The sequence below is a fragment of the Homo sapiens genome, chromosome 19 (genome assembly GCF_000001405.40).
Source record: "Homo sapiens chromosome 19, GRCh38.p14 Primary Assembly".
Lineage (NCBI taxonomy): Eukaryota > Metazoa > Chordata > Mammalia > Primates > Hominidae > Homo > Homo sapiens.
Genome location: NC_000019.10, coordinates 14,673,952 through 14,687,333, shown reverse-complemented (window position 1 = coordinate 14,687,333; position 13,382 = coordinate 14,673,952). Strand labels below are relative to the sequence as shown.

The following is a 13,382-nucleotide window of genomic DNA, read 5'->3' as shown; positions in this document are numbered from 1 at the left end:
CAAATAACATGAGCTGATTCTTTTTTACATCTGCATAGTGTTCTATGGTGTGCATGTACATTTTCTTTATATCGCCTGCTATTGATGGGCATTTAGGTTAGTTCCGCATCTTTGCTATTGTGAGTAATGCTGCAACGAACTTACATGCGCATGTGTCTTTATGATAGAATGATTTATATTTCTTTGGGTAGATACTCAGTAACGAGATTGCTGGGCCAAATAGTATTTCTGTTTTTAGGTCTTTGAGGAATCGCCACGCTGTTTTCCATTGTTAACCCCATTTTAAATGTGAGAAAGTAAACACTGAGTAAAATGAATCAACCTGACATGAAATCACCGAGCACAGAGACCACATATCTTAAACGTTTGTCGGATGGATGGATGGGTTCACAAATGCATGAGTGAATAAATATCATGATCAGGCTTCCTAACTCTAATTCTCATGCACTTGTCACTAAATTTAGCTTACTGACTTAATGAGTATCTTTGGGCCTGAATGTCCCAGAATAATAAAGATACAATAATAGATTTAAGGTGATGTAAAAAAGAACAAGTTAATATCTCTGTAGGATTTGCCTTAACTCCTCATACCCGGAAAATTTAGACCTTCATCCATACTTCAACCCAGCTTCTTAAAGCCCAGCATTTGAAGCTACTTTGGATTTCTTTTTCTTTAATCTTACCAGAAGATGGCACTATAATGTAAAGACTAAGCCCTCTGAGCTGGGCGCGGTGGCTCACACCTGTAATCCCAGTGCTTTGGGAGGCCAAGGCAGGAGGATCACTTGAGGCCAGAAGTGCAAGACCAGCCTGGGCAATATAGAAAGACTCTATCTCAATTTCAAAAAGAAATTAAGCACTCTGAAATAGGACTCAATCATCATTATTATCATCATCATCAATAAAGTAATATTGATAATGGGGATCTTATTTGTGTCTTACTGTAAATCAAGCATTATATTTTTAAATCTCATCTCAGGATAAAACCAGAAAGTGTTAGGAAACTTGAATTATTTCTTCTTTTGTGTTGATGACATAACCAAATAAGGGAGGAATTTGGTTAGGTCGCAATCCCTGGGAGGAGGGTAGGTCCTCATGATTTGCTGGGGTGCTCTTGGGAGAGAGGGAGTAAGGAAAGCAGGGTAGGAAGGAAAGGAAGGAGTTGAACAAAGATGTGGGCTCAGCTGGAGTCAAGCTTCAACCTAATCTCATAGGGAGCTCTGGAGTATGAGACACAGAACTGGTCCCATTCTACTTTGAGGAAAGGAGCTGGCATTTTGTACCCCCATCTTGGATAGCCATTGGCTGCAAGATGCCTCCTAAGGGTGGGGGATCATAACCTCCCAGAGCAACTCCTGTTCAGCTGAGGCAGCAATTATCTGAAGGAGGCATAAAATTAGTCATTCAAAATTTAAGCTATTGGGGCTGGACACAGTTGGTTCATGCCTGTAATACCGACATTTTGGGAGGCCTAGGTGGGAGGATCACTTGAGGCCAGGAGTTGTAGGCCAGCCTGGGCCACGTACCAAGGTCTCTGTCTCTACAAAAAAAAAAAAAAAAATTTAATTAGGCATAGTGGCATATGCCTGTTGTCCCAGCTACTCAGGAGGCTAAGGTGGGAGGATCGATTTGAGTCCAGGGGTTCAAGGCTTCAGTGAGCCATGATCACACCACTGCACTCCAGCCTGGGTGACAGTGAGAATCCATCTCCAAATAAAAAGAAAATTAAGCTGTTGGAACTCAATTAAATTATTTAGGGCCTTAAAGGAATGTGAATTACAGGGCCCGAGTCACGTAACAGGCAGCTCAAACCCAGGAAGCCATAGCTTTTGTTTCTCTGATTACAGATTAAACCTTTTCCTTTACTGGCACTGTTTTGTAAAATGTTACAGGTGGTTGAAGAGCCAGGGAAGACCCTTCCTTCTCTGCTGTTGACTTTCAGTAAAAAATAACTTCCCTTTTCCCTTTCTCACATAAGGACTTCATGGCTATTACACTGCCTTTAGAGGGAATGTTAAATACACACTTTTAAATTGGAAAGAAAATGAAAAGCAGCTACAACAAAAAGAAAACAAATCACACAGAAAAAAAACTGCAACTAATTAATTTGTTATAACTCATAAACCAGCCTTGTATAGAAAATGTAATCCTGTTAAATTTCTTTGTCTTCCTATACAAGCAAGAACTTAGCTTCTAACTTCAGAGCATTGACTCCATTTCTCTAGAGTTTGTGCATCCCAGAGTGGCTGTTCATGGATTTTCTCTTGAATAAGCTCTTTAAAACTGGAATCTGGTGCTTTTGATTATTTCAGGTTGATATATCAGACAGCCGTGACTGATAGCAACTAATATACAACAGCTGGGGGATGAGTCCCTACAGAACAATCCATTTGTTCCTTAGGGCAAAGAAATACTTTCTTGACATTAATAAAATTTGATTTTATTTCTCATGGAAATAGTTCTAGAAAATAAACCAGAAAACGGGATCTGGGTGAGGGATCAACAGCATCCTCTCTGTAGGGATCGACACTTAAATAAATTCAACCTGACTACCAAGCTGGCTGCCATGATCATCTTTGAGCCTGTCGAGAATTAAACATTACTGCCAGGCACGATGGCTCACACCTGTAATCCCAGCACTTTAGGAAGCCGAGGTGGGTGGATCACTAGAGGTCAGGAGTTCGAGACCAGCCTGGCCAACATGGTGAAACCCCGTCTCTATTAAAAATACAAAAATTAGCTGGGCATGGTAGCGGGCACCTGTAATCCCAGCTACTCAGGAGGCTGAGGCAGGAGAGGCGCTTGAAACTGGGAGGCAGAGGATGCAGTGAGCTGAGAATCGCACCACTGCACTCCAGCCAGGGTGACAGAGTGAGACTCCGTCTCAAAATATAAAAAAAGAATTAAGCATTACTTGCACCAAAGAATATGAAGTTCCAGTTAAACAGGAGGAATGAGTTTTCAAGATCTATTGCCCAGCAAGGTGCCAATAGTTAATAATTCATTGTATATTTGAAAATTGTTTTAAAAAATACATTTTGGCCAGGCGCAGTCACTCATGCCTGTATTCCCAGCACTTTGGGAAGCCGAGGTGGGAGGAGGGCTTGAGCTCTGGAGTTGGAGACCAGCCTAGGCAACATGGCAAGACCCCATCTCCAATATATATATATATATATATATATATATATGCCAGGCATGGTGGCATGCCCCTGTAGTCCCAGCTACTCAGGAGGCTGGAGCAAGAGGACCGCTTGATCCCAGGAGTTCGAGGCTGCAGTGAGCTATGATCACATCACTGCACTCCAACCTGGGCAACAGAGCAAGACCCTGTCTCTAAAAAAAAAATATATATATATATATATATATATATTTACTTATTTAATATTCTCACTACAACAAAATATATAAGTATGTGAAGTAATGAATGTGTTAATTCACTTGGTAAAATCATTCCACATGTATACATATATCAACACATTACATAGTACCCCATCAATATATACAATTCTTATTTTTTCAATGAGAAATAACAACAGAAATTGAAAAAAAGAATCATGTGGAAGCTGCTCACCCCCATATTTATCATGTGATGTTGCAACACGGCTAATGAGAATTGTTATTTTGAACACTTTAAAATGAAGAGGAAGTGACATTCATACTCTGTGTAGCAACGTTTGAGGCAGTGGGTGAGCATGACCCAGATAAAGGTTTGAGCAATGCAGTTGATGCTCCTGGAGCTCCACCCAGTTGCTCTTCATGGTTGCATTCATTCATTTACCTGTGAGGTTTGGCTTGCACCCACGCCCAGGGCAGCCACAGCCAATGATTGATTGACATAAGGGCCTTGTATAAGGGCCCTGCCTCAAGATGGATCAACTCCATGGTGCACAGTCCAGAGCTCCCCATGGGATTAGGCTGAGGCTAGACTCTTGCTAAGACTACCTCCTTGTTCAGCTCCTTCCTCTGTCCTATCCTTCTTCAGTTCTCTTCTTCTAGGAGTAACCCCTCTGTAAGAAATCACATGCATTATAACCCCTACCCCCAAAGTCATGGGCATCCCAACCTCTATGCCTCAAAAATCATGTGCATCCCACTCCCTGCACCCAAGAAAAAAAAAATCATGTACATTTTAACCCTTATCCCTCCAACAAATCAAATGCATCCTAAACCCTGCCCCCCAGCAAATCTTGTGCATTATAAACCCCACCCAAAAATCATGTGCATTATGAAAGCTGCACTCCACTCAAAATTCGGTAAATTCTATTTTTTTTGCGGGGGGGAGGGAGCTTGTGTTGCCCAGGCTGGAGTGCAACAGCGCAATCTTGGTTTACCACAACCTCCGCCTCCCAGGTTCAAGTGATTCTCCTGCCTCAGCCTCCCGAGTAGCTGGGATTACAGATGCCCACCACCAGGCCTGGCTAATTTTTTGTATTTTTATTAGAGACAGGGTTTCGCCATCTTGCCCAAACTGGTCTTGAACTCCTGACCTCATGATCCACCCACCTTGGCTTCCCAAAGTGCTGGGATTACAGGTGTGAGCCACGGAGCCTGGCCAATTCGGTGCATTCTAATCCTCATCCCCCAAACAAATCAAGTGCATCCCAACCCTTACCCCCAACAAATCATGTGCATTACAAACCCTACCCCCAAAAAATCACATGCATCCCAACCTCTATCCCCCCAAAAAAGCATGTGCATATCAGTCTCTATCCCCCCAAAAATCACATGCATCCCAACCTGTATCCCCCAAAACCTCAAGAATCCCAACCTCTAACTCCCCAAAAATCATGTGCATTCCAACCTCTATCCCCCTAAAAAACCATGTGCATCCCAGCCTCTATCCCACACCAAAAATAATTTGCATCTCAATCTCTATCCTCACCAAAATCACAAGCATCCCAACCTCCATCACCCAAGATGAAAAGTTGAGTGTGTGACTAAGTGGATGGATGAGTGCATAAATGGGTTGGTGGATGAAAAGAAGAATAGGTCGGTGAGTGAACGGATGAAAGGTAGATGGCTGGGTGAGTGGATGGATGGATGGATGCATGGATGCATGATGGATGGATGGATTGATGATGGATGGATGGATGGATAAATGGATAGATGCATGGATGGATGCATGGATGGATGCATGGAAGGATGGAAAGGGCTATTCAGGGACATCTATGAGGTGAACCTGTGAGAAACTCTCAGAGATAACTGAGAACACACTTTTAGATTTCCAGCAAGAAAGCCCCTGGAATATTATACCACAATAATTTGGTTACGAAAAGGAATTATAATCTCATTTGTCATCACAGTTGGAAAACATTTGATTTATTCTCAGGTGCCCCACTAAGCAATGTTAGGATGGCAGAGAACTAGCAATGGCCTCTGGCTCTCTCATGGGTTCTTTGAATAAATCCTACATCACAGTACTCCTGATGGTCCAGAGAACAATACCATGCAAAGCTGGGTTCTCAAACTTAAGCATGTATCAGAATTACTTGGAAGGTCTGTTAAAAAACACTCACTGGGCTCTATCTCAACATTTCTGATTCAGCAGGTCTGGATATGGTCCAAGAATCCGCATTATTTATTTATTTATTTATTTGTTTGAGATGAAGTCTCACTGTGTCCCCAGGCTGGAGTGTAGTGGTGTGATCTCAGCTCACTGCAACCTCCACCTCCCAGGTTCAAGCGATTCTCCTGCCTCAGCCTCCTGAGTAGCTGGGATTACAGGTGCCCACCACCACTCCTGCCTAATTTTTGTATTTTTAGTAGAGACAGGGTTTCACCATGTTGGCCAGGACGGTCTCGATCTCTCGACCTTGTGATCTGCCCACCTTGACCTCCCAAAGTGCTGGGACTACCGGCATAAGCCACCACACCAGGCCCAAGAATCTGCATTTCTAACAAATTCCCAGACAATATTGATGCAACTGATCTGGGGACCACATCTTGAGAACTACTGACATAGAGAAACATGGAAATTGAAACATGGGCACCAATGACTGTGCTGAAAGTAATTTAGAAGATTCTGAATATGAAGAAGCTTCAAGAACATCTTAACAAATTTAGTTCCCGCTGCTAGTTTCTTTTGTATGCATGCAACAGAGCCATGCATGATAAATATTCATTTCTAAATAAATCTATTATAGCTCATTCAAGAATAAAATAAAAATTTATAAAGAATAATAAAGCATTGTATCATAGTTTAATGGTTAGGTGTAGTGGTACATAAAATAATGGTGTACCTTTATTTATTTATTTATTTTTGAGGTGGAGTCTCACTCTGTCACCCAGGCTGGAGTACAGTGGCACCATCTTGGCTCACTGCAACCTCAGCCTCCTGAGTTCAAACGATCCTTCTGCCTCAGCCTCCTGAGTAGTTGGGATTACAGGTGCGTGCCACCACGCCTGGCTACTTTTTTGTACTTTTAGTAGAGATGGGGTTTCGCCATGTTGGCCAGGCTGGTCTCAAACTCCTGGCCTCAAGTGATCCGCCCACCTCAGCCTCCCAAAGTGCTGGGATTACAGTCATGAGCCACCGCACCCGGCCAATGGTGTACCTTAAAATTAATAATGCTTTAGATTTGATGAAATAGGATATGAACAGAGAAATGAGAGAAGCTAACTCTATCTTAGAGGCAGGGAAGGGCACAGTGGAGAGTATAAACCAAAAGTAACTGAGACAGGTCTCAATCAATTTAGAAGCTTATTTTGCTAGGGTCAAGAACATGCCTGGAAGAAAGGAACACAGAAAAACATACTATCATCTGTTTGTTTCTCCAAAGATAATTTTGAGGGCTTCAATATTTAAGGGGGAAAAGCAGACTGGAGGGGAAAGAGGGAGAGTTTGGTCACATTACTGAACCAATGTGTTGCCAGAGATAAAAGGAGCAGGTGGGGGACTAGTCAATGATGTATTCACCTTGTGCTCAGTAAATCGGCACTTTATGTAAGATAAAATGAATATACAGTAGCTACCTGTGAAGATATCTGGCCTTTTATCTGTAGCTGTCTGCTTGACTCCGCTTTCAGCTTAATTTTATTCCTGAATTGGAGTCCTGAGACTTTATTTTCCTTTCACAAGAGTTTATCATGGAAGGACATGCAAAAGAATGCCACTTGAAGGACGTGGCCAGGAGTAGAGTGGCAAGAAAGAAAAAGAAAGGGCATTCCAGGTGGGGCACAGTGGGTCACACCTGTAATCCCAGCACTTTGGGAGGCCAAGGCAGGCAGATCACTTGAGACCAGGAGTTTGAGACCAGCCTGACCAACGTGAGGAAATTCCATCTCTACTAAAAATACAAAAATTAGCCAGGCATGGTGGCGGGTACCTATAGTCCCAGTTACTCAGGAGGCTAAGGCAGGAGAATTGCTTGAACCCGGGGAGCGGAGATTGCAGTGAGCCAAGATCATGTCACTGTACTCCAGCCTGGGTGACAGAGTGAGACTTTGTCTCAAAAAAAAAAAAAAATGGGGGGGCATTCCAGGTTGAGAGAATCACATGTACAAAGGCATGAAAGGCTACAAATAGAATGTGGAGTTTAGGGAAACAGAAAATGTATCAGGGAAGGTGGAAAGGCTGAAGCAGAAGGGTAGGAAATGAGGCTGGAGAAGTGGAGTGGGACCAGAGTGGGGTGAGATTTATGCACCTACTAAGTAAGTGCATTTAGCCTGTGAAATATTCACAGGGTTGTGAGGCAGAGGTGTGATGGGCCCAGAATCATCTTTCAGAAAACTGTCCTGACTGCACGGTGGAGGATGGGACAGAAGGACAACGAGTTACGAGACTATTGCAGTTATCCCAGATCAGAGATGCCTGCAGAAAAGAGAGGTTGAGTAACTTTCCCAAAGTCACACAGCTAATCAGTGGCAGAGCCAGGATTTGAACCCAGGGATTCTGACTCTGCAGCCAACATTCTGTAATAGCATAACTACTGAGTTAAGCCATTCTTGCATTGTTACAAAGGAATATCCAAGGCTGGGTAATTGATAAAGAAGTGTTTTAACTGGCCCGTGGTTCCGCAGGCTTTACAGGAAGCTGACATCTGCTTGGTTTCTGGGAAGGCCTGGGAAGCTTCCAATCATAGCAGAAGGTGAAGGGAAAGTAGGTGTCTCATGGTGAGGGCAGGAGCAAGAGAGAAGAGGGGAGGAGTCACACACTTTTAAACAACCAGATCTCATGAGAACTCACTCACTATCATGAGGACAGCACCGAGGAAATGGCACTAAACCAGCCATCAAAAATCCACCCCCATAATCCAATCACCTCCCACCAGGCCGCACCTCCAACACTGGGGATTACATTTCAAGATGAGAGTTAGAGGGAACAACATCCAAACTATGTGAACCACTTTGGCCTGACCATTAGGTAGCACCACCTGTCTCTCTTGATCAACTCTTGCCTCTACAACCCCACCCCTAGACGATCACTAGGGAGAAAGATCAGGAAGCCTCACTGCATGCATGCTGGGACAGTAGGATGTTGAGAGCCCAACAAACCTACTACGTACGTTCATGGCCTTGACAATCCCAATAGCCAGCTAATTCCACCATGCTCCAAACACCCAGGGAGGTCTCTTGATCATCTTGCTTTGCTCATACTTTTTTCTCCAACTGTCTTTACAGGTGACTTCACTTGCTGTCTCCACTTCTTCCCCTCGCGCTTTTTCCTCAATCCACATAATTCTGGCTTGAACCATTATAACAACAACCTCCACCACCTTCCCTACCATTATTGGCATCACCACCATCTTTACCTCCACTATCAACATAACCACCACCGCCACTATTTTCACTCCCATCTTCATCACCACTGCTATCACAGCCTTCATCACCATCACAACAGTCACCTTCACTACAACTGTCACCATCAATCACCATCATCACCACCATCTCTGAAAACATCACTGTGATGTTACCACCACCATTGCTACTACCACCGTCGTCACTTTCGTCACCTTCAGCCCCATCGCAACCATCATCATCACCACCATCATCACTTCCGTCATCACCACCACGACCTCTACCACCACCATCGCTACTGCCACTACCATGATGACCACCATCACCACTGCAACCATTCTATCACCATCATCATCACCACCACAACCGTTATTATCATCATCATCATCACCATGTTAGATATGAGTTCTAAATTTATTTTCAAAGAATTAATATGTCAGTATGTTCAATTCTTTGCCTTCTACTTTTAAACTTAACTTCCTCGTAAAGCAGCTTTTTCGATTACCTACTCCACCCTGACTCATTCTGATCACCTGCTCCACCCTAACTCATTCCGATTACCTGCTACCTGCTCTGCCCTGACTCCCGCCAAAGCACTCACCCCGTCATTCTCTTTAAATTAGCCAATCGGCATTAGTTTAGCCTGCGCGGTCTAATCCTAGCCAATAGGGGAACGACACAGCAGCAGGGGCCACCTGAGTCAGGGATAAGAACCCCTTCCCCTCCCATGTCCGAATGTGCGCTCGCCACTGTTCCATCTGTAAGGGCACACCCTTCTATATTGAAGTAACTTGCCTTGCTGAGAATTAAAAGGAAAATTTTATATTCAAGTGCTATTTCTTTCACGTCACCGAAACTTTATATATAACAACCACCACCACAACCGCTATCATCAGCATCAGCATCATCACCACCACCACCACCTTCACTACTGTAATTGTTCATGCTAAGAATACAAACAACCCCCTTGCAGCTCTCTCCTGTGGGTGTCTTTCAGTCTTAATTCAGTGTGATCTCTTTCCTTTACCTCCATAATACCATACTCCATTCATTTCCCACCCCCACCCCTCATCTCTCTGGCCATTCTCGTCCTGTCTCCTCTATTAGCTGCCTCTCCATTCCTTTATTTTTTTTAATTTTTTTCTATTGCCTTTGCACAAATTAACATTGCCTGAGTTTTTAAATGAATTACTCAGGGTTCTTTTTCCACTCTATAATCTCTCCCTAAATGATTTAATCCATGACCGTGTCTTCAGTTGCCACCAGGGCTACTTTCTTGCAGTGGTTTTTTTGTTTGTTTGCCTGTTTGTTTGTTCCTTTTTGTTCCTGTTGTATCTAGTGATACAAGAGCTAAAAAGATATTATTCAGGCAACTGGTGAGGGTAAGAGAGTCCTCAGTAAGGCTTCCCTGTTAACAAAAAGCAGCCCCAAAATCATTTCTTTTCGTCTTTACCTCCACTACCAATATAACCACCACCTTTGCTATTTTCACCCCATCATTATCACCACTGCTATCACAGCCTTCGTCACCATCACCACAACAATCACCTTCACTGCAGCTGTCACCTTCAATCACCATCATCACCACCATCTCTGAAAATATCACCATAATGTAACCATCACCATCGCTACTACCATCACCGTCACTTTCATCATCTTCACCATCATCGCAACCATCGTCATCATCACCATCATCCCTTCCTTCATCGTCACCACCACCACCTATAGCTCCACCATCACTCCTGCCACTACCATGATTACCACCATCACCACCACAACCGTTATTATCACCATCATCATCATCACCACCACGACAAAGAGCAGTCTGCAAAATCGAGCTACAAACATAAATAAGCAAGCTGGAAGTTTGCAAAGGTAAATGCAGCGGCTGTGCCAATAGGAAAAGGCTTCCTGGGGGCAGGCATGTTCAACATGGAGGTTCCCTCTTCCCTTTTTTTTTTTTTTTTTTTTTTTTGAGACAGAGTCTCGCTCTTTCGCCCAGGCCAGACTGCAGTGGCGCTATCTCGGGTCACTGCAAGCCCCGCCTTCCGGGTTCACGCCATTCTCCTGCCTCAGCCTCCCGAGTAGCTGGGACTACAGGCGCCCGCCACCGCGCCCGGCTAATTTTTTGTATTTTTAGTAGAGACGGGGTTTCACCATGTTCCCTTTTCTTTATCACCACGTGTGCAGTAAAAAAGCAGGCAACATAGTGCCAGCCAGGTAGAGACCCCATCTGCATAGTAAAAGATGAGGATGGGGCGGCCAGCTTCTTTGCGTGCTATGCAAACAGCACACCCAGTCCGACCAATCTCTCGGTTCCTGTGTAAATCAGACAGCTCCTCCTCAAGCTCGGCTATAAAACCCCATGTATTTCACCACGAGACCAGAAGACTCACTTGGGAGCCCCTCTCTCTCTGCAGGATAGAGCTTTTCTCTTTTTTCTCTTCTCTTGCCTGTTAAACTTCTGCTCTGAAACTCACTTTTTTTTTTTTTTTTTTAGATGAAGTCTCACTCTGTCACCCAGGCTGGAAGGAACTGGCGCAATCTTCGCTCACGGCAACCTCTGCCTCCCGGGTTCAAACAATTCTCCCGCTTCAGCCTTCCGAGTAGCTGGGATTACAGGCATGCGCCACCATGCCCAGCTAATTTTTGTATTTTTAGTACAGACAGGGTTTCACCATGTTGGCTTGGCTGGTCTTGAACTCCTGACCTCAGGTGATCCGCCCGTCTCAGCCTCCCAAAGTGCTGGGATTACAAGGGTGAGCCACAGTGCTCGGCCTTAAATTCACTTCTTGTGCATCCGCATCCTTGATTTACTTGGCATGAGAGGATGAACCCCAGACAACAACACTGCTTCAGTAGGAAGTCTGGTGTTTTAAGTCTAATGAAGAGCTTCAGAAGAGTTTTAAGCAGGGGAGCCGGGTGCAGTGGCTCACACCGGTAATCTCAACACTGGGAGACTGAGGCAGAAGGATTGCTTGAGCCCAGAAATTCAAGACAAGCCTGGGCTACAAAGCGAGGCCCTGTCTCTCTTCAAAAAAAAAAATAAAAACTAAAAAAAATTAGCCAGGCGTGGTGGCATGCACCTGTAGTCCTAACGATTCAGAGGACTGAGGTGGGAGGATCGCTGGAGCCCAGGAGTTTGAGGTTGCAGTGAGCTATGATTGTGCCACGGCACTCCAGCCTGGGTAACAGAGCAAGACCCACATAAATAAATAAATAAATATTTGCTGGAGGAAGGGTAGATTTACAGACTTTTTCTCCCAAGTCCTGTGACTGGTTAGGGTTGGTCCAAATAACCAAATAATGTATTACCTTCTATGAGACTTTGGGACTCTTAACTTCTTATGGCTCAGCAATCATAACCAGTAAGTATCATCTACTGGGGGAAGAGAAAGATATGTTAAAATGACTCCTCTGGAAACTTCAGATACCAACACAGACACCCTAAAATCTGGTTTACTCACCTCAAAGCCACAGGCTTATTTAAGATTTATTTTGGCCCCAAAGGCACTTCCTAATCCTCAGACAATGTGATGTAACTTTCAGGGCATTTCCTCGTTAGGGTTTACCAACTCAATCATCCCAAAGGTGATCAACAATAGCTAGGCAGAAAAGGTACAGCAAATAAACGAAAAGCAGAACCATGAGTCTGATGGCGAAAGAGGGGAAGCAGTTTGCTTTTCTGATAGCAATTTCATGAGTCAGCTGACCTAAGATACATACTTCAATTCTCATGGGATTTCTTGAGCTAGGAAAGGTGGTTGGCTTACGGCACAGTAGAGAGCTTCCAGGGCTGGCTGGCGTGGGATACCCGTACCACAGAAATGCAGGGACCATTGCTTCTTCCAGGTATGTGTGACTGTAACAATGACTGAGGCTTAACCTATCCCCCAGTCAGGGACCACTTGGTTCAACAATTGGTTATTTTCTCCTCCTCTTTCTTCTGCTCTGAACACTCTCACCTTTTCCCTTTGGAGTGTGGTTTCCTTCCTGACTACCCTATTCAAAGTATGCTCTCGAATATCCCTAAAATGTTCCTATCCAATCTAGTAGCTTGGTTTTTTGTTTGTTTTGTTTGTTTGTTTTGTTTTGTTTTTTGAGACAGAATCTCACTCTGTCACCCAGGTTGGAGTGCAGTGGCGCAATCTTGACTCACTGAAACCTCTGCCTCCCGGGTTCAAGTGATTCTCCTGCCTCAGCCTCCTGAGTAGCTGGGATTACAGGCACACATCACCACACCTGGCTAATTTTTGTATTTTTAGTAGAGATGGGGTTTCACCATGTTGCCCTGGCTGGTCTCGAACTCCTGACCTCAGGTGATCCACCCGCCTCAGCCTGCCAAAGTGCTAGGATTACAGGCATGAGCCACCGCACCCGGTCTCTAATACGTTGTTCATCTTCCTCTTGGCAAGTTTTGTTTTCTAATTGATGTCTTCTCCTTCTTGATAACTTCTGCAAACTAGCCCTGCCCTGACTTTTTTCCTTTTTCTCTTGCTATTCTTTCTTCTCCCTCCTTTATCATTTTCCTGTGACAAGAAAATAAATGATAATTTTATTATTAATTTTAGAGGTCATTATATTAAGTGAAATAACTCAAACACCAAAAGACAAATGCCTCATGTTCTTGTTTATCAGTGGGAGCT

The 13,382-nt window shown here is 44.0% G+C and overlaps 1 protein-coding gene across 6 annotated transcripts in view; it reads left to right on the top strand.

Annotated features, from left to right (window-relative positions):
* The first annotated feature begins 12,489 nt into the window (after positions 1 to 12,489).
* The window catches only part of ADGRE3 (adhesion G protein-coupled receptor E3), a 74,728-nt gene continuing 73,835 nt past the window's right edge, over positions 12,490 to 13,382 (top strand). For all 6 annotated transcript variants that reach the window (XR_001753772.2, XM_011528374.3, NM_001289159.2 and 3 more), the window contains exon 1: positions 12,490 to 12,588. Coding sequence is in view for 5 of the 6 variants with exons in the window: in XM_011528374.3 (XP_011526676.1) it covers positions 12,564 to 12,588 (25 nt within the window). In the remaining variant the exon portion in view is untranslated. The remainder of the gene's footprint in view (positions 12,589 to 13,382) is intronic.